The sequence below is a fragment of the Homo sapiens genome, chromosome 16, assembly GCF_000001405.40.
Source record: "Homo sapiens chromosome 16, GRCh38.p14 Primary Assembly".
In the NCBI taxonomy this organism is placed as follows: domain Eukaryota; kingdom Metazoa; phylum Chordata; class Mammalia; order Primates; family Hominidae; genus Homo; species Homo sapiens.
Window position 1 is genome coordinate 19,866,814 of NC_000016.10, and position 25,824 is coordinate 19,892,637.

Genomic DNA, 25,824 nt, shown 5'->3' on the forward strand with positions numbered 1-25,824 from the left:
TGGCTTCGGAATGTGTCACTATGAAACAGATGTGAAACACATAAGGTGTGCCGCACCTTATTGATAAGTCTGGACTCTTCATCATCCCCGCGCCAGCCCCAGCTCTGCTGACACCAACCTGGGTCCCAGAGCCCTTGCATCTCTGGATCTTATCTGGCTATAAAGTCTTGGCTGCATTTTTACAAGAAAGGATGTCAGTAGTGGAATTCAGGAAACCAACTTTTTCCCTTCCTGCTCTGCCGTGTATTTATAGCCTATGCTTGAACAAGTTGCCTGACATCCCCGGGCTCAGTTTTCCACTCTGTAAAACGGGTCTTATAGTCCTCATCTTTCCAAATGCACAGAGTGGTCCTGACACCTCAGTGAGATGAGGGGCGCTTAAGCGCTTTATGGAGAGGAGGGTAATTCCATGACACAGGGGTCAGGCATGCGGGCTCTGGAGCTATCCCGCCTGGGTTCAAACTCTTGGCTCTGCCTGGATTTAAACTCTTCCTCTGCCTGGGTTCAAATTCCGGCTCTGCCTCTTGGGCAAACTGCTTAGCCTCTCTGTGCCTCAGTTTCCTATCTGCAAATCAGAACTCATGCAGTTATTGTAGAGATTAAAAGAGATCAGCCACTAAAATGCTCAGAATGATACCGGGCCCCCAGGAAGCCCCCAACAGAGGTTAGTTATCTTACACTGTAAAGGCCATGATACTTGGGTAGCTCTGGCATCGTGGTTTTACTTCAAGAAACGGAATCATCATGTTCAACAACACACTGGTTCTTCACCTTTTGGGGGTCATGGGTGGCTTTGAGAATCTGACAAAGCCATAGAACAATTCCCTAGAGAAACATATGTTAAAACCTCGTCTCCAGTGTGATGATATTAGATGGTAGAGCCTTTGGGAGGTGATTAGGCCATCAGGGTGGAGGCTTCGTGAGTGAGATTCGTGTCCTTATAAAAGAGGCTCCAAGGCCGGGCGTGGTGGCTCACGCCTGTAATCCCAGCACTTTGGGAGGCTGAAGCAGGCAGATCGTGAGGTCAGGAGTTTGAGACCAGCCTGGCCAACATAGTGAAAGCCCATCTCTACTAAAAATACAAAAATTAGCCGGGTGTGATGGCACGCACATCTCAAGTGTCCGTCTCAAGTAGTCCTGCTACTCAGGAGGCTGAGGCAGGAGAATCGCTTGAACCCGGGAGGTGGAGGTTGCAGTGAGCTGAGACCACACCATTGCACTCCAGCTCGGGTGACAGAGTGAGACTCCATCTAGAAAAACAAAACAAAACGAAAAAGGGGGCTGGGTGCGGTGGCTCATGCCTGTAATCCCAACACTTTGGGAGGCCGAGGCGGGTGGATCACCTGAGGTCAGGAGTTTGAGACCAGCCTGACCAACATGGAGAAACCCCATCTCTACTAAAAATACAAAATTAGCCAGGTGTGGTGGCACACGGCTATAATCCCAGCTACCCAGGAGGCAGGGGCAGGAGAATTGCTTGAACCTGGAGGCGGAGGTTGTGGTGAGCTGAGATCATGCCATTGCACTCCAGCCTGGGCAACAAGAGTGAAACTCCATCTCAAGAAAAAAAAAAGAAAGAAAAAAGAAAACATGAATGTATAAAAGTTTGTATCCGTTTCAGGAATTCTTGCTATTTTTGAGTTCCAGAGGGAGTTTGGGCCAGCAGAGAGATGGCCCAACCAGGAACCCAGGAACTGACCAGCTCCCGATCTCTGCTCACGACATTCCCTGAAGGGCCCGTCCTCTGGGTTCCCAGTGCTGATCTCTGTCCTGATCCCTATCTTCTGGCATCCCAGGGAGCCAGCCTCCAAGCTGGGCTGACTCTGCCATCCCTGCCAAATCTCAACAAACACGGGCTTGCCAACCTGGAGCTTCCTGGTAAGAAGAGAGCAGCTGATAAAGCCACACTGGGATTTCCAGCCCTATCTAGCGGAGAGGCCACTGGCGTTCCCTCCTAGAGATCTGGCCAGGGGGAGGGGGCCCATCCACGCGGGACAGAGGGATGTGGATGGCCTTGGATAGGATAAGCAGCTGCTGAGCATGGCCCATGCACCAGCCTCCTGGGTGAATGTCACTGAAGAGGGAATCATGACAATCTGAAGTCCTCGGACAAGTCATTTAATTCTCAGAGCCTCCATTTATTCACCCATAAGATGGGGATAATAACAAGATTTACCTCATTAGGTGGTAGTGAGGACTAATGAGCTAATGCAGGTCAAATATTTATAATAGTGGCCGGGCGCAGTGGCTCATGTCTGTAATCCCAGCACTTTGGGAGGCCAAGGCAGGCGGATCACATGAGGTCAGGAGTTCGAGACCAGCCTGGGCAACATGGTGAAACCCTGTCTCTACTAAAAATACAAAAATTAGCCAGGCGTGATGGCATGCACCTGTAATCCCAGCTACTCGGGAGGCTGAGGCAGGAGAATCACTTGAAGCTGGGAGGTGGAGGCTGCAGTGAGCTGAGATAGAGCCACTGCACTCCAGTCCAGCCTGGGTGACAGAGTGAGACTCTGCCTCAAAAAAAAAAAAAAAAAAAAGACAGATTCACAATAGTGTCTGACACATAGTTAGTGCTCAACAAATGATGACAATACTAGTTATTATTATTATTAATGTTGTAGCCCCTGATGCATCTTCAAAGAACCGAGAAAGGGCAAGTTTATTTAATCTCAAGTGCTGGGACCCTGGCTGACTCCCTTCAAGTAATGATTCTACGAGATACTTTTCAAGTATCAATAGCAGGGGATTTGGGTTCCTGTATCACATCCCCTAGGTAGGTCCTATTGGGTTCCTATGCCACATCCCCTAGATAGGACCTCACTTCTGAAGCCCCCTGCAGCAGTAGCAGATAGTCCTGGGTACCCAGATAACATCCATCTCAAGCGCTCAGCAAGTCTGTTTTTCTGCCTTGGAACTGATGATACTTATCCACCCCAGTCACCAGAATTATAGGGGATGTTAATAACACTGGGGGGCCCAGTGCTATGGCTCATGCCTGTAATCGCAGCACTTTGGGAAGCTGAGGTGGGGGGATCACTTGGGCTCAGGAATTCGAGACCACCCTAGGCAACAGAGTGAGACCCCATGTCTATCAAAAATAAAAAATAAGTTAACTGGGTGTGGTGGTGTGTGCCTGTGGTCCCAGCTACTCGGGAGGCTGAGGTGGGAGGACTGCTTGGGCCCAGGAGGTCAAGGCTGCAGTGAACTGTGATTGTGCCACTGCACTCTAGCCTGGGCAACAGAGCGAGACTCAATCCATAAAAAACCAAAACCAAAACCAAATAACACTGGGAGATGGGAGCCTGTGGACAGATGCCCCAGCCTCCTTTTCTTCCTGGACCAATTCTGAGGCTCATTCAGCATATGTCCTCAGAGGATTCCCAGCACAAATGAGCCCCTGTTGCCCGTGGTAGTAACTAGCTCATTAATGTGCTTGTTTTATCTTCTCTGCCTTCTCAGTCTCATTCTCCCTGTCCTCTCCCTTGCAGGGACCACTTCCCCACGAAACCACCTGCACTGGAGCCCTTGTGTCTCAGATTCTTCTTTCAGTGGAAGCCAAGTCAGATGCACAGAGAACATACCAGGTACCAAGAGGGCTTTGTACTCACTGTGTTCCTTCTCCTAACAGCTCTATGAGGTACAGTCTCTTACTATTTCTAGTTCACAGATGAGAAAAACTGAGGCTCACGAAAGTAATATAATTTCCTCAAAGCCACACATCTAGGAAGTGGCAGAGGCAAAATTTGAACGCAGACATCTGCCTCCAGGGCCCAAATTAGTACATTCCCGGTAACTGAGCTAGGAGAGGGGATGGGAGCAATCCCCGCTGTGGCCCCCTACATCCATCCAGCACATGGGTTGAAGACTCAAATGCTTTGGGGGAGCCAGGGAATTAATGTTACTATCCTATATAGCAGCTGGGTCAGGTGCAATAGAGAGCGGTAGAGAGTGCGGTGAACAGAAAAGTGGATTCCCATCTAAAGGGCAGCCACAAGTCCAGGAGGGGCCAGAGGCAGGGCCCTTCCAGTGCACATGGGCTCAAGTCAGTTTCAGACCATTGCAGCCTGGTGGAAATGTTGGTCCAGTGTTGCCAGATTTGACTTTGCAAAAGAAGCCAGAAACCTGTATTTTTAAAATAAATTGGCTGGCAATTGGTAGGGAAAAAAAAAAAGCTTAATAAAAATCCATATCTGAGGCTGAGCATAGTGGCTCATGCCAGAGTTTTGGGAGGCTGAGGCGGGAGGATCATTTGAGCCCCGGAGTTTGAGACCTGCCTGGGCCACATAATGAGACCCTGTCTCTAAAAAGAATAAAAAAAGTAGCTGGACATGGTGGCGTATGCATGCAGTTCCAGCTACTCAGGAGGCTGAGTTGGGAGGATTGCTTTAGCCAGGAGTTCGAGGCTGCAGTGAGCTATGATCACACTGTTGCACTCAGCCTGGGCAACAGAACAAGACCCTGTCTCAAAAAAAAAAAAAAAAAAAGAAAGAAAGAAAAAAACAAAAAACAAAAAACCCAAACCCTGCTGGGCGTGGTGGCTCACTCCTGTAATCCCAGCACTTTGGGAGGCCGAGGTGGGCATATCAGCTGAGGTCAGGAGTTCAAGACCAAGCTGGCCAATATGGTGAAACCCCATCTCTACTAAAAATACAAAAATTAGCTGGGCGTGGTGGCACACGCCTATAGTCCCAGCTACTTGGGAGGCTGAGACAGCAGAATCACTTGAACCCAGGAGGCGGAGGTTGCAGTGAGCTGAGATTGCACCATTGTGCTCCAGCCTGGGTGACAAGAGCGAAAATCTGTCTCAAACAAACAGACAAACAAACAACCCAAACCCATATCTGGGTCAGTTTCAGCCCAGGAGTCAACATTTGTGGGTTCTGATCTGCTAGGACTGCCCCAGGTACTGGGACCGCCCATCCCCACTGAAGAGGAAGAAGAGTATCTTTTGAGATGAATGGTCCCCCGGCCTGACCCAGCCGGGTGGTGCCCACTTTACCTGCATTGTGTTCATCCATGGAGAAGGCCTTGTTCTCCATATAGGCCCGCGGCAGCTGCACGTCCTCCTCGAAGGCCGTCTCCCGCATCCTGGGCTGCGACGTGTCGAAGTAGTTGGGCGTGTTCTCCTGCAGGGCTGGCAGAAGGGTGCAGTGGATCTCAGGGATGGCGTGGAAGATGACGAAGACCCAGCCGCTGGCCGCCAGCGTGATGGCCAAGGTGGGGTCGTTCCAGGCATCCCCCTGCTGCAGCTTGACATTGCCGAAGAGGTACATGGTCATCCAGGCCACCCAGATGAGCACAGAGAGGAAGGCTGTGATGAGGAGGAAGGCCCCGTTCAGCTTCCACCTCTTGAACTTGCCGCACAGAGTGAAGAGGGCCAGCCCCAGGGTGACCACAAGCAGTACCATGTCGTAGATGAGGGCCATCACAAAGTCCATGGGCTCGTAGGCGCAGGCTGGCCTTGTGTCACGCAGCACGGTGAGCACCAGCCACTCCACAGCGATGATGACTTGCACCAGCATCAGGCACAGCGCCAGGCCCACCAGCTGCCAGCCCGCGGGGCCCGTGCCATGCCGCACCAGCCTCCGCACGCGCCATGCCTGGCTCAGCAGGCAGGAGAAGCAGAGCGCAAAGAGGACGCCCCAGAGGAAGCGGCGGACAGAGCAGATGGTCTCGTCCTCCTGGATGATGAAGGCAAACGTCAGCCCAAAGAGGCCCAGGGTCCCCAGGAGGAACAGAAAGTGGAGGCCCACAGGGCTCTTCTTCTCCTTCTCCTTGATGAAGGGCAGCCGCACCAGGAGGATGAGCATCAGGAGCAGTGTGATCAGGGCGCCCGCCCCGGCCACCGCCTCCACCACAATGCCCCAGATGGCGTCCAGGTCGCACAGGGACACGTACTGAGGGAGGAGGTCCAGCCCACAGCCTCGGGATGTGCTGGCGTTTTCAGAGGCCACCGAGGTGATCACGAAGAGCAGGAGGAAGGTGAGCACCTGGTGAGCTCTCATCTTTCTCTCTGATGCCACGAACATTCTAGAAAAGCCAAGAGGGGAATGGTTGGGGGGAAGGAAAGATGAATTCATTGGAAGACTCCCCCTCTCCTGACTTCTTGAAGAAGACTCGCCTCATTTCAAACCTGCAAGCGCACACGGCACCTTTGCACACATAGGAAAACGTGCTCCTTTCCTCAGGCACGGAGGTTTTGGGACCCATCTGTACCCTTGGCTGGGTGCAGTGAAGAACCGTGAATCATCATCACTGGTGGCTGAAGGACAGGGTAGGAGGGAGGCCAACTTCTCTGTATACCCTTTTGTATTCTTTGAATTGGATACTCTGTGCCACATCTGACCTCTTGAAAAATAAGAGGAAGGCTGGGCGTGGTGGCTCATGCTTGTAATCCCAGCAGTTTGGGAGGCAGAGGCGGGCGGATCACGAGGTCAGGAGTTCAAGACCAGCCTGGCCAACACAGTAAAACACCGTCTCTACTAAAAAATACAAAAATTAGCTGGGCATGGTGGCGGGCGCCTGTAATCCCAGCTACTTGGGAGGCTGAGGCAGCAGAATTGCTTGAACCTGGGAGGCGAAGGTTGCAGTGAGCTGAGCTCGTGCCACTAAACTCCAGCTTGGGCGACAGAGCTAGACTCCGTCTCCAAAAAAAAAAAAAAAAACCAAAGAAAGAAAAATAAGGGGAAAAAAATGAAACTTTAAAGACACAGCCACAGGCCAAGTGCTGCACTGGGAGAATGAGTGGCACACATTACCTGGTCTCAGCCTCTCGAGGCTAACAGCTAACAGCCAGGAATTGGACACATCCAGTCCTCACAATGCCCTGTGAGACAGCTCCTATTAGGACCTCCATCTTACAGGTGACAATACAGAGTCTCCAGGAGGTGACAACCTTTGCACAAGGTCACACAACTCAACTCCTGGGTGCGACCTCACTCCGCGGGCTCCCAGCATTTCTTTCCTTTTTTGTTTTTATTTGAGACGGAGTCTGTCTGTCGCCCAGGCTGGAGTGCAGTGGCGCAATCGGAGGCTCACTACAGCCTCTGATTCCCCAGGTTCAAACGATTCTCCTGCCTCAGCCTCCTGAGTAGCTGGGATTACAGGCGTGCGCCACCACGCCTGGCTAAATTTTTTTGTATTTCTAGTAGAGACTAGGTTTCACCATGTTGGCCAGGCTGGTCTCGAACTCCTGACCTCAGGTGATCCACCCGCCTCGGCCTCCCAAAGTGCTGGAATCCCAGCATTTCAAATGTAGTAAACACAAAAGCAGCTGTCTTCCTTGGTTCCAGGCTGCGTCTCTCCCTCACCTCCCACGCTCGCTCTCTAGAACATCTCTGGAGGATTCCCCAGAGTGCCTCTCTCCCTGGGAAACCTGCAGAATTCTCCCTGCTGCCCTCTCTCTTGCCCATATACGAGCTGGAGTCCACACAGCAGCCTCAGCGATGGGCCTAACCCAAGTCTCCTCTTGCCCCTCTGCTCCCTCTGCCTGGCCACTCCTCCTCCCAGTGCTGAGCTCAGCTCTGATGCCATCAACTCAGACTTGGCCAAGGTCACACCCCAGTCCTCTCCACCACAGCCTCTGGTCTAATCACGTCTGTCATTTTTTGGCTGTTTACTTTGTTTCTGCCTTCCCTTCCTCCTGTCCTCCCATCCTCACTTCCTCCATTGCAAGACGTGGCAGGGCAGGGACATGGTCTCTCTTGTTCACCGGCAGACAAGGCTCCTTCAGTCTTGGCACGACTGACATTTGGGCTGGGTTGTTCTCTGTCATGGGGGACTGTGCGTTGCAGGATGCTTAGCAGCATCGCTGGGTTCTACCCACTGGATACCGGTAGCACGTCCCCTCCTCCAACTGTGACAACCCAAAATGTCTCTAGACAGTGCTAGATGTCCCCTGGGGGAGCAAAATCACCTGGATGAGAACCATGGCTGTAGACTCAAGCTCGACACACAGCACCTGGCACGATGTTTAGTAAATACTGAATGAATGAGAAACATAGTGAGGACTGTCCCCTACCTCACGGCTACCAGCTCCTTCCCTTTTTTTTTTTTTTTCTCTAACGGCCCCTTGCTTTTGAAGGGAGCCTGGTCTTTAGGAAAGCCACAGCCCGCACAGCTGGCTGGATGCTTGTTTCCTGGCCTCTCAAGCCAGACTTACTGCCCCAGCTCAACCCACGTGTGGGGTTGTGACCAGCTGCTCTCCCCGGGCTCCAGTACGTCCCTGGGGCTTCCCTAAGTAAATGCGGTATCGACCACCTCACTGTTACAGAGATCCTGTGAGCATCTCAGATCCTGCCCTGGCTGTGAGGCTTTCCAGTGGCATAAATTATTGATGTTACTGAAGGAAAAGGTGCCTGGGGCTGTCGGGCTCATGTCCTTTGCCTACTGATGAGAGGAGGCAGCCTCAGAATAGAAGGCATCCGGCCAGCATTCCGCCCCAGCATCCTGCTCAGGTACCTTCCGGGGTGAGGATGCACCCCAGGCATCGGTCGGCCTGCAATCCAGCACTTATTCGTGGTCCTGCCACGTCGGTCACTGACGTGCCACCACAGCTACTTATGCTTTGTCCACACACCACCTGGGCGGTTATTTACTTAACTTTTGAATCAACCCACTTACAAGAAAACCAAACACATTCAAGTATTTATCTCCAGACATTTTTAAATTGCTCATTGAGACTGGGTGCAGTGGCTCATAACTGTAATCCCAGCACTTTGGGAGGCTGAGGCAAGAGGATCACTTGAGGACAGGAGTTTGAGACCAGCCTGGCCAGTATGGTGAAACCCTGTCTCTACTAAAAATAAAAAAAATTAGCTGGGCGTGGTGCCACGTGCCTATAGTCCCAGCTACTTGGGAGGCTGAGGCAGAAGAATCGCTTGAACCTGGGAGGTGGAGGTTTCAGTGCGCCAAGATCTTGCCACTGCACTCCAGCCTGGGCAACAGAGCAAGACTCTGTCTCAATAAATAAATAAATAAAAATAAAATAAAATCGCTCGTTGATGTAACCCATGTTGCATACCCACTGGGCGCATTTCAACCTACCACCCTTTGGAGAAACATCATCCTAGCACAATTGCTTGTCACGAGGTACTAAAGCACACGAGGGATCAAAATTTAAGAACTGGAGGTGTCAGAACAAAATGCCAACAGTCCCCGACCCAGTGGAGGGGCCCTGGAATGGATTCCCCTGAGACATCTCATCAATGGCCAGCTCAGTTAAGAGACTTCTCAGCAAGTTTCAGCAAGCAATGCTGCAAGCAGCCTCTCTAATCCCATCCAGCCCCAGGGTGGCTGGGAGGATGACAGGCAGGAATGTGCTTTGCAGTCCTCACTACCACCGATTCCCCAACCCCTCCTCACCCAGTAGGCCAGTGGTTCCGAACCAGTTGCAGTTTTGACCCCAAGGGGACATTTGGCAATGTCTAGAGACATTTTCGGTTGTCACAACTAGGGAGGGAGATGCAATTGGTATCAGGGGGATAGAGACCAGCAATGCTGCCAAACATCCTACAATAGGACAGCTCCCATGAGAAAGGATTATCCAGCCCTACAGGTCAACTGTGCCAAGGTGGAGCAAGCCTGGTTTAGGCACGTAAAGAGAGAATCGATGGGGAAGATGCCACAAAACCAGCCAGGCCCCTCAGCAGCAGGCCTGCACCCTGGGTCTCCTTGCAAGAACTTGGCCTTCTGAAGCTGTTTCCATTCACTCCCTGAGGGGGTTCTCTCTTTTCCAGACCTGGCTGCAAATTGGGACTTTTGTTTCTCCAGCTCCTCCCACTTCCTGCTCAGCCATGCAGTCGCAACAGAAAACCTATGTGGAGGATGCCAACACCAAGATGGCGACCAAGCTTCTGAAATGGTGCAGAGTTCTATGGCCCTGGTCCAGGTTTCCAGCTCCTGACTCCTCTCTGACATGGGAAATAGATACACTCTTGCTTTCTGTTTTCATCCCTGAGGGTGGAACGCTCTGCTCTTCCGGGACAGCTGTTGTTTTCGCTGCTCAGCATCCGCTTCTCCCATTTCTGGAAAGAGCACCTGATTTTCCCTTGGAGAGCTACCTTGCGTCTGAGCTCCCAGCATGGGCATCTGTCCTAGGCCTGGCCAATCAGAGCATTTATGCTACCCTTAGCCACAGTGAGTGGTTCATGGAAAGGCACGTGGCCTGAGCCAGGCCCGTGAGAATCCGCTCTAGGATTGTTCTAGCACTCACTGGAAAGAGGTCTTCTCTTTCTGCTGGGGTTGAAAAACTACAAGGATGGAGGCCTGAAGCTGGAGAACACACAGGGTGAGAACTTGTCTGAGAGTAAAGCTGTCCCAGAGGAAACAGCTATGGGATGGACCACAGTCCTAATACACTGAATGGCTGGATTCATCCATGCCTGAAGCCAGCCTAGTCTATGCAGTTCCGGCAGCCAGTTAACTCCCCCAGCCCCTGCTTTTTTTGGATTAAGCCAGTTTGAGCTGGGTTTCTGTCACTTACCAACAAAGAAGTTCTAATGTTCCTCCCACATCTTATGGCCCCCTTCTTCCAGGAAGTCCTCCGTACCCAATATCTAAGCACACAGATGCAACTGATGGCACCACTTGTCTCAAGTGGGTCATTATCATTGCCATGGCTGCCCATGAGGTGACAGCCACCCACTCCATAGGACAATGTCCAGGATGTTTGGGGGAGGGGTGTGGCACATTGCCTCACAGACTGACACTGAGGCAGCTCATCTAGGATTTCTGGGGGATTCAGAAATGCCCCCCAGAGTTTCCTATTGCAGCCAAAGTGACAACAACAATAACTGGTTAACCCTTACAGTGCTATGTTCTAGGCACTCTGTGTACTTCGCGTATATTAATACCTAATGATCCACATTATAATTCTATAAGGTAAGTACTATTACTATCTCCATTTTACAGGAGACAAAACCTGGCACAGGGAAGACAGCAGGCTTGTCCAAGGTCACGCAGCTACAAAGGGGAGAGGCGAGACACAAACAATTGTCCTATTGCTTTTTACTACACACTAGCTTTTACTACACACTAGAGTCCCAGAAGTGCCACTTGCTGAGCCTTTGACTGGCAAGTCAATCAAAGTAGATTCTCCCTGGCCTGGCACAGTGGCTCACGCCTGTAATCCCAGCACTCTGGGAGGCCGAGGCAGGCAGATCATTTAAGGACAGAAGTTCGAGACCAGTCTAGCCAACATGGTGAAACCCCGTTTCTACTAAAAATACAAAAATGAGCTGGGCGTGGTGGCACGTGCCTGTGATCCCAGCTACTTGGGGGACTGAGGCAGGAGAATGATGTGAACCCAGGAGGCGGAGGTTGCAGTGAGCCGAGGTCACGCCACTGCACTCTAGCCTGGGCAACAGAGTGAGACTCCGTCTTAAAAACAAACAAACAAACAAACAAACAAAAAAACCCAAAGTAGATTCTCCCTGTCCTTGTCAATCTTTTGAGTGATATCTTTGTAGCGTGTACCTCAATTTTCAATTATTTGATTTTACTTTTTTGAGACAGAGTCTCGCTCTGTTGCCCAGGCTAGAGTGCAGTGGCATGATCTCGGCTCACTGCAACCTCTGCCTCCTGGGCTCAAGCCATTATCCTGCCTCAGCCTCCCAGGTAGCTGAGATCACAGGCACCTGGCTAATTTTTGTATTTTAGCAGAGACGGAGGTTTTGCCATGTTGGCCAGGCTGGTCTTGAACTCCTGACCTCAAGTGATCTGCCCGCCTCAGCCTCCCAAAGTTCTGGGATTACAGGCGTGAGCCACCACACTGGGCCAGATTATTTTATTTGTATTACTCTTTTGGTCTGTTCCTCACCATTCCCCTCTTCCCCCAACCCCTACCTCATGCCCGGGACCTTGTCGTCTGCACCATTTCCCCAGTGCCTGGCACTTGGGCAGTGCTCACAATCCAGTTGCCGAGTGAATGGATAAATGTGGTCTCCAAACCTCACACCACCCCGAAAGGCTGTGTGTTCTCATTCCCATTTATAGAGGAGGAAACTGAGGGTCTGAGAGGTTTACATCGAAGTTTGGTTCTCGGGCTGGCAAAAGCAGCAACATCGCCCTGGAGCTCTTTAGAAATGCAGATTCTCAGGGCGTGGGTCCAGCCACCAGTGCTTCCACCAGTGCTGCAGGCGATGTGGGGGTGTACTGAGGCTGGATACACAAGGACACGTATAGCAGCGAGAGCCGGAACTCAGAGCCCTAGCTCCTTCACCTCCCCACCCCAGCCCAAGACAAGGCAGGCAATGCCCACGATCCACTGTGCCCCATGGCAGGTAAGCCCCCATCCTGCTAAATTAGGCACCTGGTGCCTCCCACCCCCGAGAGCTGGGCAGCTCTCCAGGAGCCCCAGAAGGAACAATACCAGATTAGAGGTTTCGAGTCAGCCTCGAGGCAGGATTGATTGGGACAGGATGAATATATGGCAACAAACCCGTGGGATGCAGGCGTGCGCTTCTCAAAAGGAGTAATGAATAAATGTGAACGAATGCACAAGACTCAGCTCACATACTAATTACCTTTGCTGCCAGCCAGGCTCCTAGAAATGTGACTCACTCAGATGCTCTTAAATATACTGCATCTCTCTCTCTCTCACACACACACACACACCACACACACAGACACACACACACGCGCATGCACGCACTCTGCAGAGGGGCCAGAAGCAGCTAGCAGGTGGAGGAACAGCACACTCTATCTCTCCACGTGCTGGGGCCTGCAGAGGGCGAACACAGGCAGGCAGGATTCCTTGTGTGAGAAGGAAAACAAGGCCTGCCCGGAGGCTACACCAAGGCCATACCTTGGTGTGAACTTAGGAATCAGATCTCCCAGTTTCCGATAATGTCCCCACACCACCTGCTAGCACCTTGTGACTCTGGGCAGCTGCCATAAGGTGCCTCATCTGCAAAACAAAGGTGCTAACAGTGTCCACCCCATGGGGTTGCGGTGACGGTTAAAATAATTAGGGTTTAGGACGGTAGTTAATGGGGTAAGCACTTTATATAAGGTGTCTATTAAATACATAAAAAAGGCCAAGCGCCGTAGCTCACACCTGTAATCCCAGCACTTTGGGAGGCCCAAGGCAGGCAAATCGCTTGAGCCCAGGAGTTGGAGACCAGCCTGGGCAACATAGTGAAACCCTGTCTCTATAAAAATACAAAAATTAGCCAGGTGTGGTGGTGTGTGCCTGTAATCCTAGCTACTCAGGAGGCTAAGGTGGGAGGATCGCTTGAGCCCAAGAGTTTGAGCTGCAGTGAGCCGTGACTGAGCCACTTCACTCCAGCCTAGGTGACAGCATAAAGACCCTGCTCAAAATATAATAATAATAAAATAAAATAAATAATAATAAAATAAAATAAAATAAAAAAGATTGGCAAACGCTCCCTTGTCTGAGGTGGTGAGCTCTTCTGAAACTGATTTTTCTAGAAGGGGTGGTTGCCATGGAGATGGTGTTGTAACGAGGTGGCTCGCCTAGGTATTTGTCCACCGCTGGTTTCCAAGCTCATGCCTGTAATCCCAGCACTCTGGAAGGCTGAGGTGGGAGACTGCTTGAGGCCAGGAGTTCAAGACCAGCCTGGGCAACATAGCAAGACTCTGTCTCTGTTATAAATAAAATAAAATAAAATAAAATAAAATAAAATAAGAAAAGAATGTGTTGTAATGAGATTACTGGTTTAGGTTTTTGTCCACTGCTGGCTTCTAGCCTCCCCCATCAAACATCAACGAAAGAGGTCCCTGAGGTGGTGTGAAGGGGAGACCCTCTTGGGGTGGTTGGCCCTGGGGACTCCCACACTCTTCTGCAACCTGCAGCAGGTGCTGTAAGTGAGAGCCTCGCTGTGGAGGTAGAACCTAGGCCAGAGGACCTTGGGGTGCCCTGAAACCAGGCATCTCTCTTGCGGAGTCAGACCCAGGACACCCAGAGAGCAGACACCAGCCATTCTCTTGGGAACCAGCATCCTCATCTTCCCTTTCACTCACGGGAAAGGAGACATGAAATGTACAAAACCATTCTAGAACATTCTTACTGGCCTTGCCCCAGCTGCTACCAGCACGGCTCCACCCTGTGTCCCCTCGACCCCAGCCATGTCCCCTCGACCCCAGCCATGTCCCCTCCGAGTGTCTAGCAGGGCAGTGGCATCTTAACCTACCTTCTCTAAAGATGGCGGTAGGCACTGGAACACAGAAGGGAAAGACAAAATGAGCAGGTGGGGTGGGAGTGGATTTCCGAGCCCTGTGCATATTTAATAGTTCAGTGCCCAGTACCCACATGAATACGGGTACACAGTTCACTCTCCCATCAGGCTGAAAGGCCTCAGTGGGAGGCAGGCCAGAAGAGGGGAGTCAGACAGAGCTATATGACACTGGGCATTACTTAACCTCTCTGAACCTCGGTCTCTTCATCTGTAAAATGGGGATAATGATAGCGCTGCCTTACAAGGCTGGTGTGAGAAGTACGTGAAAAATAGTCTGGGCCAGGCGTGATGGCTCATGCCTGTAATCCCAGCACTATGGGAGGCAGGAGATTGCTTGAGGAAGGGAGTTCAAGACCAGCCTGGGCAACGTAGCAAGACTGTCTCTATTATAAATAAATACAACAAGAAAAGAAAAGTCAGGTTTGGTGCCCGACACAGAGGAAGCAACAGCTTTTTAGTGAATTGCTTGTTAAAAAGTCAATCATGGCCAGGCGCGGTGGCTCATGCCTGTAATCCCAGCACTTTAGGAGGCTGGGGTGGGCAGATCACTTGAGGACAGGAGTTTGAAACCAGCCTGGCCAACATGGTGAAACCCTGTCTCTATTACAAATACAAAAATAAGCCGGGCGTGGTGGTGCACACCTGTAATCCCAGATACTTGGGAGGCTGAGGCAGGAGGATCTCTTGAAACCGGGAGGCGGAGTTAGCAGTGAGCCGAGATTGCGCCACTGCACTCCAGCCTGGGCGACAGAGTTAAACTGTCTCAAAAAAGAAAGACAATCATGATTCCCATTTTCCTGTTGCGAAAATGAAGGCAGAGACGTCAGGAAAATTGGCCAGAGGTTCACTGGAATTTACAGGCTGGCCTGGGACTAGCCCCCATTTCTCCCAGCTCCTGACCTCAAGGCGTTTCTGCTGCATCCCTGTTCTGAATCCCTCACGTGTGGCAGAGGCTCAGGATGGGGCTGCAGAGCCAGATCCCCATGCACCCCAGCATCATAGTCTGTCCCAACTCACTCCTGCTGGAGCCTCTGGTCCATTTCCTGCTCTGCAGGATTAAACTGTTACAAGGTTTCCTGACTTCAGACCCGCTCTTTCCCACACCCCCAATTCTCACCCTCTGATATCTTTTCCGAGTTACAGGATCTCATCATCTTCATTTCCCAATGCTGACTAGACCACTGGCCCATTTGAGGGCTCTCAAATTAAAAAATCCTCATAGGTTAGTAAACAGGGTTGCAAGAACACAAGCTCTGTGATCCATGAATATGCAAAGCAGCTCCAGTCCTGTAAATAAAAGCAATCATTGAAATGCAAATTGCATCCTTGGCTGCCCGATCCACAGTGGTTGGTTCCTCTCAGGCTGTAATTCCGAGAAGAAAATGTGACTAAGCGGAACCCCCAGGAAGCTCTGCGAGAAAGTGCTTACGGGGCCGTGGGCTCCGGGGGGCTCCGTTAGAGTGGATAAAAACTGTATGAAAGCAGGGAGTGGATTTTAAAACCTGAGCTGCTCCTCCAGTTGGCTTGCAGTGGCTGGCTAGGCTCAAAGCGGTCCCCCAAGGCTGGACAGAGCCCCTTGGAGGCTCCCAGCGTCTCTCTATCCCCATGGGCAGAATGGAAAGGGGGGCTATTTTCCATTTCCTTGTCAACGTCAGGGGAGCTTCTACAAATCAGATCCCATGGCCTCCCACTCAAAACCCTCCAAGGGTTCACTGGTCCAAACAGAATAAACCCTAAACTCCTTTCCATGACCCAAAAGATCATGATCTGGCTGGTCCCTACCATTCCCCTATCCCCACCCCCAAATCTGCCTACAGCTCCAGCCACAATGGCCTTTGTTCAGTTCCTCTAAGCTCATTCCCACCTCCAAGCTTTTGCAGGCACAGTGCCTTCCTCCTGGTTCAGTCTTCCTCCAAGACCTCCCAGCGGAGGGCCCCTCTTCTAGCTGGGCTCCACTCAAATGTCACTCCCGGAACAGTCATCTCAGGTACATACACCCCTGTCACCTTCTTTTACATCACCCCATCTTATTTTCCTGGCCGTCCTCACCCCAATCGGATTTCATAGCCATTTGCTATGGGTTTGTTTAATGTTTGTCCACTCACTTCCCCAGCCCCGGGAGAGCAGGGGTTTTGTCCGTTTTATACAAGGCACCCAGTTCTGTCCCTGGCACGTTTCTTGAAATAACATATTAATCCAGTAAAGATTCTGAGTTTATCTTTCTAACAAAACTGCCTGTCTTGCTGCCTGTGCCCCCAAATGGCGGCTCCTTCCTCCTGGAATCTCCTTCCCTTCCCAACTCAGCTGACCCCTTTCCAGGCTTAGAGCAGGGAGCAGATAGCAAACTGTTCACTCCACAGTCTTAGATACCAAACTGGCCGGGAGGGCTTCCAAACGACAGATGCCAATTTGCATTCTATTTACATGTCATTTGCATGCAGTTTAACTCAAAGCCTGGATCCTCCGCAAGCCCGAGTCCCCACCGAAGAAACTTCTGAATTAAGAAGGTTCCTTGGCTGAAGTGCCGGGGTTTTTGTGCCAGATCCCTCCCCCACTTCTCTTGTCTTTGCGGGGTCCCCCAGGGCTTTCTGGGCTCTGTTCAGGTGCCCCCCGGCCTGGTGCAGTTGGGCGGCCAATGTGGCGCGTGGGCTGGGGCCCCAGGCGGGGACGCCGCTGCCCGCCACACTCCAGGGGCCTTTGTCCGCGCTCCAAGGAGCCGCCCCCTTAGCGAACGGGGGACGGAAAGGGAGGACTGGCTAGGCCTGGGTGTGACAGAGCAAGGACGGAGGAGTGAACCCGCTGCACGGGGGAGATTTCTGGGGCAAGGTCGTTGGCCCCTTCCCAGGCTGTTCAACCGGCTGCCCGGGGCCAAGGCGGGTGCGGGCTCCTCCCGCGCGCTCCCTTTTCGGCCTAAGCGCTAGGGACCCCGGGATGTGTGGGGTCCTTGTGGGGCTGGAAGCCTGTGTCCCCCAAGGAGAGGGGACCGAGAACAGGTCTAGTCCTTATCTCCAGCCTAGCCGCCTCTTCCAGAGGTCCAAGTGCCCCCTGTCTGGAAGGGAAACGCCACTGCCCCCCCCGCCATTGTATGCAGCCGCCCCCTCCTCCCCACCCCTCCCCGTCATTCGTCCCCAGCCCAGGTCTCAGCTCTGCCATCTCCCACCGCCGTGTCCCCCCCTCCCCTTGCTGAGTAATGCGCACTCAAGCCGGCTGCGGGCTTGACCCCCAGCCCCCGCGACAGGTGCGGCTGTTCACCCCCAAAGTCCAGCCCTTGTGCCCCCGGCTGCGTCTGCCCTGTCCACAGTCAGCCCCCAACGCGGCCCCAGGACCAGCCCGCAGCTCCTCACACATGACGAGTCACTAGGACACGGCTGGGCTCCTTTACCCTCCCAGCTGCCCTTCACCTGTGGTCGCCCCCACACCCTCCTGGGAGACTTGGATCTCTACCTGGTCCGGGCACAGTCTCCCTCCCCCCGTAAAGGTCCCCAGATCCTCCCCTCCCCCGCCCACCCCTCTACGGCTCTGCTCTCGTCGCACCGTGGTTCCCCTCGCCCAGATTCCACATCTCCCCCAGCAATAAACTCCCTGGCTTGGGTTGGGGGGGCGCTTAGAAAAACACAAGAAGCGGACCCCCCAATTCTCCCAAATCCACGGCGGGAAAAGTTTCTGGGGTCCCCACAGCGTCCTCCACTGCATCGGCGCAGCTCGCACTTACCGACCCCCGCGGCCCCGCAGCGCCGACGCTCCAGCTGGCCTTCGGCCCGAGTCACATCTCTGCGGCGCGGCCGCGGCCCCCGCTCCACGCACGCCCGCCTGCGGGTCCAGCTTCACTGCAGCGCCTGCCAGAGTCGCTGCCGCGCGAGGCGCCCCCTGGCCCGGCCCGCGCTGCTGCAGCGGCCGCGGCCCCGCCCCCGCCCCCGCCCCCGGCCGGCCCCGCCCCCGGGCCTCCGAGCCCCACCCCCGGTCCCGCCGGCGGTTCCGCGCGGGGCTAGGCGCCGTCTGCATGCACCCCCGGAGCCCAAGCTCGTAGCTTCTAGCCCGGATCTCAGAGACGATTCCCCCGACCTCGTGCCCCCAATTCGGGGACATTCCCCCCACAACGTCAGTGCGCCCGTAAGCAGTCCAGACGAGCCGGGCAACTCCCCAGGGTAGATCCATTTGCGGGAACACTCCCCTAGCCAATACACTTACCGAGGGAGGTATCGCGACCCAGGGGTCCCAGCGCGGAAGCCTTCCTGCCCCCAGGCCACGCTCCAAGGGGGGTTCATAAGCAGTAACTTCCCCGAAACACACCAGCACCAGGTCCAGGACGCAGAGAGGATCGATCCCGCCCGGTGCCTCTCGAAGTCACCAACGCCCCGGTATACACCTAGGCGCACACACACCGCTAGGCCTCCTCCAGGCAGGTTCCTCCTGGACACACTCTTCTCTCTCCTCACTGCCCAACTCCCAGATGTCGTTGTCCGTTTACGCACACTGGGACCAACACCCGCTTCCTTGGCCCCTCGAAACACACACGTCCAGTCGGTGCACCCCTCACGTGGGTCCCTACGCAGGATCGCCACCACCCCTACCGCACACATCACCCACGTACGCACATGTCCACTGCCCTTCAGGGCTCACACACTCAGCGGCCCGGGCCACTGGCCGTGCGCTCCGCAGACGGTCAGGGCACAGCCCGGACGCGTGTCCGCTGGGCGGCCGTGGGACCTGCTTGAAGGAGGGGTCCGGGGCAGCCGTCTCTGAGTCCCCCTCACCCCGTCCTAGTCCTCAGGCCTCTCCGAGGTCGCATTGCTTCGACCAGGCCTGGGAGCTGCGCTCCGGCACCCCATATGGGGCTGGTTCCCTGGGTGACCTTCAGACCATCAAACCCTGGCAGTCTCAGGTGGCCCCCCGCCAAAGCCAGAAACAGACCTTTGAGCAGCATCCCTTCCCTGCACTCCAGATTCTCAGGGTGAGATTTCCTTTCTCCCTCCGCGGTGCGCCCCCCAATCTCTACCCCCGTCGCCGCAACCATCCCAGCCACATAAGACCAAAAGGGATAGGACGGACCCCTGCTCCCCTCTCCCGGGGGCTGCAGGAAGGGGAGATGCAGAACACCTCCTTCTGGGAATAGTGGCAGCCCCTGATCTTTGGGGACCGTGGCCCTTCCAGATACTCCCATCCCTCCCTGCCAGCCTCCCAGTTCCGGTCCGGTTAGGCCACATCCCCCTTGGGCACGCATCTCTGGGATACCTTTTATTATATTCAAGGGAAAATGGAAAGGAAGAACCATAATGGCAGTTTTTCGCCCCACTCCTGGTTTATTTGCATGGATCCTCAGAGCCCAGAACAGTTCCAGGCACAGTAGGCGCTCATTAAATGTTTGCGGGACGACCCAAAGTGTGTTCCCGCCAGACTGCGCAATTGGAAAGTGGATGGGCACTGTCACCTGGTGGCAGCTCTTGGAACTGACGCCGAGATCCTTTTGTCAACGTGGGCAAGTTCACTTTCGTGAGCCACATGTCCTCAACGTCTGCAAAATGGAGATCTTTTTCATCGCACATGCCTATTGGGGTTGTTGTGAAGGTCTAACACGTGCTAACATATAAAGTGCTTCACGCAGGGTCTGGCATGTGGAAAATCCTTAATATGAGCTGATTAACATTGCAGTTACGGTTATATTCCCTTTCCCACTTGTTTTACAGAGGACCCTGACTGTGATGGTCAGTTTCACTTTGGGTGATGATACCACAGGGAGCACAGAGTGAAAATGAAGGAGGACATTGAGTGGCAGGTGCATTCCTTCCCTCCAAAAAGTTCAAACACCCATGGATGATAATAATAACAATAATAGCTGAGTACATAGTGCTTTCTGTGTGCCAGGAGCTATTCTAAGTGTTTTAAATTCTTTAATTCATTTAATCCTCCCAGTTACCCTTTAGGCCAGAGACTGTTATTCTCCCTGTTTTACAGATGGAGACACTGAGGCCAAGAGGGGTTAAGTACTGCCCCGGGGTTAGACGGTTGGCAAAGACAAAATCCAATCCAGGCCATCTGGCTCTGCAGGCCATATTATCCACCAATGGTTAGACTGGTGTCATTTGCTGTCAGGTCAGACATTGTCACAGAGGAACCTCACCTCCCAGGAGAGTTCACTGGGTCTCCAGCCTTGGAGAGAATGGCTCCAGGAGGTCCAGGGAGCCATGTCAGGCTCTCAAGTGCCCAGTTCACTTTGTCTAATGAAAACCAGTGGCTTCCCTGGCTCTATTCCTCACCTGAGAAATGGTCAGTGCACTGCCCATGGCTTCCCACTGACAAATGTCATGGTATGTGTATTAATTTCATACTGCTATGAAGAAATACCCAAGACTGGGTAATTTATAAAGAAAAAGAGATTTAATGGACTCAAAGCTCCACATGGCTGGGTAGGCCTCACAATCATGGTAGAAGGCAAAAGAGGAGCAAAGTCACGTCTTATATGGTGGCTATATGGTGGCAGGCAAGAGTGCATGTGCAGGGGAACTGCCCTTTATTAAACCATCAGATCTTGTGAGACTTATTCACTATCATGAGAACAGCATGGGAAAAACCCACCCCCATGATTCAATTACCTCCCTCCAGGTCCCTCCCATGACATGTAGGGATTATGGGAGCTACAATTCAAGATGAGATTTGGGTGGGGACACAGCCAAACCATATCAGTGTGTAATTAGATATTTGCATGGCTCTCTGCTTGGTGTCTGTCTCCCCTACAAGACTGTATCTCAGTGCTGTGCCGTCCAATCTACACTGTCTGATAATGGCAGCCGCTAAACATGTGCCCACTAGGCACTTTATATGTGACTTGTATGACTACAGGATTGAACTTTCAGTTTTTGTTTGTTTGTTTTTTTTTAGATGGAGTCACTGTCACCCAGTCTGGAGTACAATGGCGCTATCTCGGCTCACTGCAATCTCCACCTCCTGGGTTCAAGTGATTCTCCTGCCTCAGCCTCCTGAGTAGCTGGGATTACAGGCGTCCACCACCATGCCTGGCTAATTTTCGTATTTTTAGTAGAGATGGGGTTTCACCATGTTGGTCAGTCTGGTCTCGAATTCCCGACCTCAGGTGACCCACCTGCCCAGGCCTCCCCAAGTGCTGGGATTACAGGCGTGAGCCACCGAGCCCGGCCTCAGTTTTATTTATTTTTAATTGATTTAAATTTAGGCTGGACATGCATGATGACTCATGTCTATAATCCAGCACTTTGGGAAACTGAGGTGGGAGGATTTCTTGAGGCCAGGAGTTTGAGGCTGCAGTGAGCTATAATTGCACCCATGCTCTCCAGCCTGGGTGACAGAGTGAGACTCTGTCTCTTAAAATAAATAAATAAGTAAATAAATAATCAATAACCACATGTGGCTACTGTATGCATAGCATATCCTTAAGCTTGATGAGGACAAGAACTATGTCTATTGTTTATCCTGGCATCCAGTGCGTGGCACAGGGCATGGCTCATCGAATATTTGTTTACTAAAAGAATAGTTAACTTTGGGAGGTCAAGTTAGCAGGATTGCTTGAGGCCAGGGAGTTTGAGACCAGCCTGAGCAGCATAGGGAGACCTGTCTCTACAAAACATTAAAAATTAGCCAGGCATAGTGGCGTGCACCTGTAGTCCTAGCTACTCAGGAGGCTGAGGCGGGAGAATCGCTTAAGCCCGGGAGGTCGAGGCTGCATTGAGCTGTGATCATGCCACTACACTCCAGCCTGGGCAACAGTGCAAGACTCCATCTCAAAAAAAAAAAATTTTTTTTAAGAAAATAAAAAAAAGAATAATTGAATTCCAGCTTTGCTTTCCCCTTTCAAGTATGTCTATTCTGTGTCCAGACCTTTCATGATCATCCTCTTGTCTCTGCTAATAAGCAGAACATCTCCTAAAGGAATGTGGCACTCAGGGCTTTGGAGTTGTCAAAGTCGATTTCCATGAATCATCTTGCCTGAACAACAGAACCTTCTGAGGTTGGTGTCTGTGTCGCATGTGGTAAAATGAGGCTTGGGAAGGTTGAGGGACTTTCCCTTGGTCTCACAGCTGTATGTGTCAGAGGCAGGACTCAAACCCAGTTACCCATGGTCTTCTCACTTTCCACTGTGATCCCAGTGCCTGACCATGGGACCTCAGCAGGGTCTCTTCAGTGCCAGGCTCTGTGCCTGATCCCGTTGGTGGTCCCTAGATGGATATGGTGTGATCTTGCACTCAGGATGCTCCATGTCAATGGAGGAGGTTGACCTTCTCGGTAGAGTGTGAGGGGGGTTAGGACAGGGCACTGTGGAAGGACCTCTGTCTTAGTCCATTTTGTATTGCTATGAAGGAATACCTGAGGCTGGGTAGTTTTTTGTTTGTTTGTTTGTTTGTTTGTTTTTGAGATGGAGTCTTGCTCTGTCTCCCAGGCTGGAGTGCAATGGCATGATCTCGGCTCACTGCAACCTCCATCTCCTGGGTTCCCCAAGCGATTGTCCTGCTTCAGCCTCCCAAATAGCTGGGACTACAAGCTATTGCATACGCCACCATGCCCAGCTAAGTTTTTGTATTTTTAGTAGACATGGGGTTTCACCATGTTGGCCAGGCTAGTCTCGAACTCCTGACCTCAGGTGATCCACCCGCCTCGGCCTCCCAAAGTGCTGGGATTACAGGTGTGAGCCACCACATGTGGCTGGGACTGGGTAATTTATAAAGAAAAGAGATGTATTAGCTCACAGTTCTGCAGGCTGTACACGTTTGACCCCAGCATCTGCTCGGCCTCTGGGGAGGCCTCGGGAAGCTTTTGCTCATGGCAGAAGGCGAATGGGGAGCTGGTGTGTCACATGGCGAGAGAGAGAGAGCCAGAGAGATGCCGGGCTCCTCTAATCAGCCAGCTCTTGTGTGAACTAACAGAGAGAGAACCCACTCACTACTGTGAGCCACTCATGAGGGATACATCCACATGACCCAGACACCTCCAACACCGGGAATCACATTTCAACATGAAATTTAACGTGGACAAATATTCAAACCATATCAACTTCCTACCTACATACTTTGCTTGGCTAGGCTGAGAAGGTTCCCAGGCTCCCCTGAGACTCCAGCACTTGATGTTCTCCTTAGAGCAGCAATGGGGGACACTTCAGGCTGTTGGCATTTCTGGAAGCATCTTTGGGGTGAGCAGCCAGGAGCACTGAGTAAACAAATGTGGAACACACCATTGCCACCATTCCACTATTTTGTGCCCATGACAGGCATCACCAATGGATTGCTGCTTTTAATGCCCTCAGTCTGTAACTGTAACTGCCCATTATGTGTTAGAAAATTCAGGCTGGGTACAGCGGCTCACACCTGCAATCCCAGCACTTTTAGAGGCTGAGGTGGGAGGATCACTTAAGCCATGGAGTTCAAGACCAGCCTGGGCAACAGAGCAAAACTCCCATCTCTACAAAAAATTTGTAACCAGGTGTGGTAGCATGTGCCTGTAGTCCCAGCTACTCTGGAGGCTGAGGTGGGAGGGTTGTTTGAGTCTAGGAGGTTGAGGCTGCAGTGAGCTGTGATCACACCACTGCATTCCAGCCTGAGTGACAGAGCAAGACCTTGTCAAAAAAAAAAAAAAAAAAAAAGAAAGAAAGAAAGAAAGAAAAGAAAAGAAAAGAAAAAAGAAAAGAAAATTCATTCACAGTGGCAAAGTGCTCTTCAGTTGTTTCTGGGAGTCCCCAATGGGGTGTCCCCATAGACATCCACAAACCAGTGTGTCAGTTGCAGTCAAAATGTGACTGCCACCCTCTCTTCCTACAGGTTCTTGTCTGTGAGTACGCAAGATTGCTTGGAGTAGCCTCATCATGGCCCCATTGGTCCCCTGCAAGGCTGCCATGGGGACACTCTCCCAAAGCCCCCAAAGCTGTCAGGAAACATTTAAGCAGCAGGACAATTGTTACGGCCTACACAATAGGGATGTTTGTTATCACACAACAATAAGTCGGGATGTGAGTGATCTCACAGTTGGTCCATTGCTCAACAATGTAAACAGGGGCCCAGTGTCTTTCTAGTAGTCTTCTGATCAGCTGTCCTCTGCTTGGGACCTCATGGTCACAAGATAGCTGCCATGGCACCAAACATCACATCTTCACTTGACAATCTCCAGTATGGGAAAGAAGCTGTCCAGGGAAGAGAGCTCTTCTTGTGAGTCTCCCTGTTAATCAGAAAGAAAATCATTCCTAGAACTGCCCTACTTCTCACCCCAGGTGCAGAATTACCCTTATATTTCCTTGGTCAGAACTGAATCACCTCGCTTCCCCTAGTACAAAGGAGGCTGAGAAGTGAGCTCTTGGCACCAAGAGACTCAGTAAAGAAGGAGGGTGAGGGAAAGGTGCTTGAGGCAGGAAACCTCAGTGTCTGCCCCAAGTGACCTTCCTGAGAGTTGAAGGAGCAGGGGCTTGAGCTGGTGGCACACATGTCCACTGCCCTACCCAGCCACCTGTAAGGGTAGCTTCTGAGCTTCTGAGTCACCACTATCTCAGGGGGATCAAACCCAATCCCAGGGCCAGATAGAAAGTGTGTGGCCCCTTTCCCTTCTCCCCTCCCCTCCTTTTCTCCTGACGCAAATCTGTCACAGAAGCAGCTCTCTATCTTCATAGAAGGTTTCTGCTTTACCCTTTGGGAGGCCGAGGTGGGCAGATAGCCTGAGGTCAGGAGTTCGAGACCAGCGTGGCCAACATGGTGAAACCCTGTCTCTACTACAAATACAAAAAAATTAGCTGGGCATGGTGTCACATGCCTGTAATCCCAGCTACAATGGAGGCTGAGGCAGGAGAATCGCTTGAACCTGAGAGGCAGAGGTTGCAGTGAGCCGAGATCACGCCACTGCGCTCCAGCCTCGGCAACAGAGTGAGACTCGGTCTAAAACAACAACAACAAAAAAAGGTTTCTGCTTTGTCATTTCACTACTAGAAGTTCCCTTGCTGTGTCCCCAAAACAAAGGAACTGTCTGTCCCCCCCAAAGACAAACTCAAGCCTCTACCCCTATGTAAAACAAAGAATGATTTGAATGGTTGCAATTCTAGGTTATTTATTTATAGGCGTCTATGAACTTCCTGGTGGAGGTTTAAGAAATGTTGGACCATTTATCTTTACTCGGTTATGAAGCTTAGAGTGATGTGGGATCCACTTTAAGAGAAAGGGTGGAGGCAGGGCCTGGATGTGCCAGCCCCAGAGCCCAGGCTGTAACCACTGCCCCATCCTGCTGTTTTACCCCCGGGCAGGAATCCTCTGATCAGCTTCACTTTCTCTTAGTTTTTCCTTATGACACTGTGATGTACTTCCAAATCACCAGGCTCTTGTCCACATGAACACTCTGGTTCAGAGGGTGGGAGAGGATTCGTACCCCCAAAAGCTCCCAGCTGGGCTGTCAGACCCAGGACCTCACTCTCAGTGGCAAGACCTTGGCCCAGTTCTTCTCAGTCCTGGCTGCTCATGAGAATCACCTGAGTCAAAAAAAAAAAAAAAAAAAAAAAAATTAGGTGCCTGGGTCCTCTCCTGGACCAATTCAATTAAGTGAGAATCACTGGGTCTGGAGGCTGAAGCAGGCTCAGACCATTGCTAAACAGGGTGGGAGGAGATGTCAGAAACACTGAGGATAGAAT

At 52.1% G+C, this 25,824-nt stretch overlaps 1 protein-coding gene across 2 annotated transcripts in view, besides 10 other annotated features; it reads right to left on the reverse strand.

The window, feature by feature from the left end:
• The window catches only part of GPRC5B (G protein-coupled receptor class C group 5 member B), a 28,944-nt gene extending 10,123 nt beyond the window's left edge, over positions 1-18,821 (reverse strand). The window contains exons 1-2 of one of the 2 annotated variants that reach the window (NM_016235.3): positions 17,914-18,035; positions 5,003-6,033 (exon numbers count right to left, since the gene is read on the reverse strand). In NM_016235.3, the coding sequence (NP_057319.1) occupies positions 5,003-6,032 (1,030 nt within the window). In that variant the 5' untranslated portion in view covers position 6,033; positions 17,914-18,035. Of the gene's footprint in view, positions 1-5,002; positions 6,034-17,913; positions 18,036-18,389 lie in introns of those variants that run through there. The other variant, NM_001304771.1, reaches the window with a different exon arrangement.
• Positions 1,383-1,885: an enhancer, noted in NCBI's record as "H3K27ac-H3K4me1 hESC enhancer chr16:19879518-19880020 (GRCh37/hg19 assembly coordinates)". NCBI's record gives its function as "activates a minimal SCP1, AML or CMV promoter by ChIP-STARR-seq in primed H9 embryonic stem cells {active_cell/tissue: H9 hESC(primed)}" and the evidence as "EXISTENCE:reporter gene assay evidence [ECO:0000049][PMID:30033119]".
• Positions 5,369-5,869: an enhancer, noted in NCBI's record as "H3K4me1 hESC enhancer chr16:19883504-19884004 (GRCh37/hg19 assembly coordinates)". NCBI's record gives its function as "activates a minimal SCP1, AML or CMV promoter by ChIP-STARR-seq in naive H9 embryonic stem cells {active_cell/tissue: H9 hESC(naive)}" and the evidence as "EXISTENCE:reporter gene assay evidence [ECO:0000049][PMID:30033119]".
• Positions 8,990-9,805: an enhancer, noted in NCBI's record as "H3K27ac-H3K4me1 hESC enhancer chr16:19887125-19887940 (GRCh37/hg19 assembly coordinates)". NCBI's record gives its function as "activates a minimal SCP1, AML or CMV promoter by ChIP-STARR-seq in naive H9 embryonic stem cells {active_cell/tissue: H9 hESC(naive)}" and the evidence as "EXISTENCE:reporter gene assay evidence [ECO:0000049][PMID:30033119]".
• Positions 12,394-13,123: an enhancer, noted in NCBI's record as "NANOG-H3K27ac-H3K4me1 hESC enhancer chr16:19890529-19891258 (GRCh37/hg19 assembly coordinates)". NCBI's record gives its function as "activates a minimal SCP1, AML or CMV promoter by ChIP-STARR-seq in primed H9 embryonic stem cells {active_cell/tissue: H9 hESC(primed)}" and the evidence as "EXISTENCE:reporter gene assay evidence [ECO:0000049][PMID:30033119]".
• Positions 13,124-13,855: an enhancer, noted in NCBI's record as "NANOG-H3K27ac-H3K4me1 hESC enhancer chr16:19891259-19891990 (GRCh37/hg19 assembly coordinates)". NCBI's record gives its function as "activates a minimal SCP1, AML or CMV promoter by ChIP-STARR-seq in naive H9 embryonic stem cells {active_cell/tissue: H9 hESC(naive)}" and the evidence as "EXISTENCE:reporter gene assay evidence [ECO:0000049][PMID:30033119]".
• Positions 13,856-14,585: an enhancer, noted in NCBI's record as "H3K27ac-H3K4me1 hESC enhancer chr16:19891991-19892720 (GRCh37/hg19 assembly coordinates)". NCBI's record gives its function as "activates a minimal SCP1, AML or CMV promoter by ChIP-STARR-seq in naive H9 embryonic stem cells {active_cell/tissue: H9 hESC(naive)}" and the evidence as "EXISTENCE:reporter gene assay evidence [ECO:0000049][PMID:30033119]".
• Positions 14,586-15,317: an enhancer, noted in NCBI's record as "OCT4-NANOG-H3K27ac hESC enhancer chr16:19892721-19893452 (GRCh37/hg19 assembly coordinates)". NCBI's record gives its function as "activates a minimal SCP1, AML or CMV promoter by ChIP-STARR-seq in naive and primed H9 embryonic stem cells {active_cell/tissue: H9 hESC(naive and primed)}" and the evidence as "EXISTENCE:reporter gene assay evidence [ECO:0000049][PMID:30033119]".
• Positions 15,318-16,047: an enhancer, noted in NCBI's record as "OCT4-NANOG-H3K27ac hESC enhancer chr16:19893453-19894182 (GRCh37/hg19 assembly coordinates)". NCBI's record gives its function as "activates a minimal SCP1, AML or CMV promoter by ChIP-STARR-seq in naive H9 embryonic stem cells {active_cell/tissue: H9 hESC(naive)}" and the evidence as "EXISTENCE:reporter gene assay evidence [ECO:0000049][PMID:30033119]".
• Positions 16,048-16,778: an enhancer, noted in NCBI's record as "H3K27ac hESC enhancer chr16:19894183-19894913 (GRCh37/hg19 assembly coordinates)". NCBI's record gives its function as "activates a minimal SCP1, AML or CMV promoter by ChIP-STARR-seq in naive H9 embryonic stem cells {active_cell/tissue: H9 hESC(naive)}" and the evidence as "EXISTENCE:reporter gene assay evidence [ECO:0000049][PMID:30033119]".
• Positions 18,294-18,588: a silencer, noted in NCBI's record as "tiled region #8054; K562 Repressive DNase unmatched - State 4:PromP". NCBI's record gives its function as "represses a minimal TATA promoter and a strong SV40 promoter by Sharpr-MPRA in K562 cells {active_cell/tissue: K562}" and the evidence as "EXISTENCE:reporter gene assay evidence [ECO:0000049][PMID:27701403]".
• Positions 18,822-25,824: the final 7,003 nt, after the last annotated feature.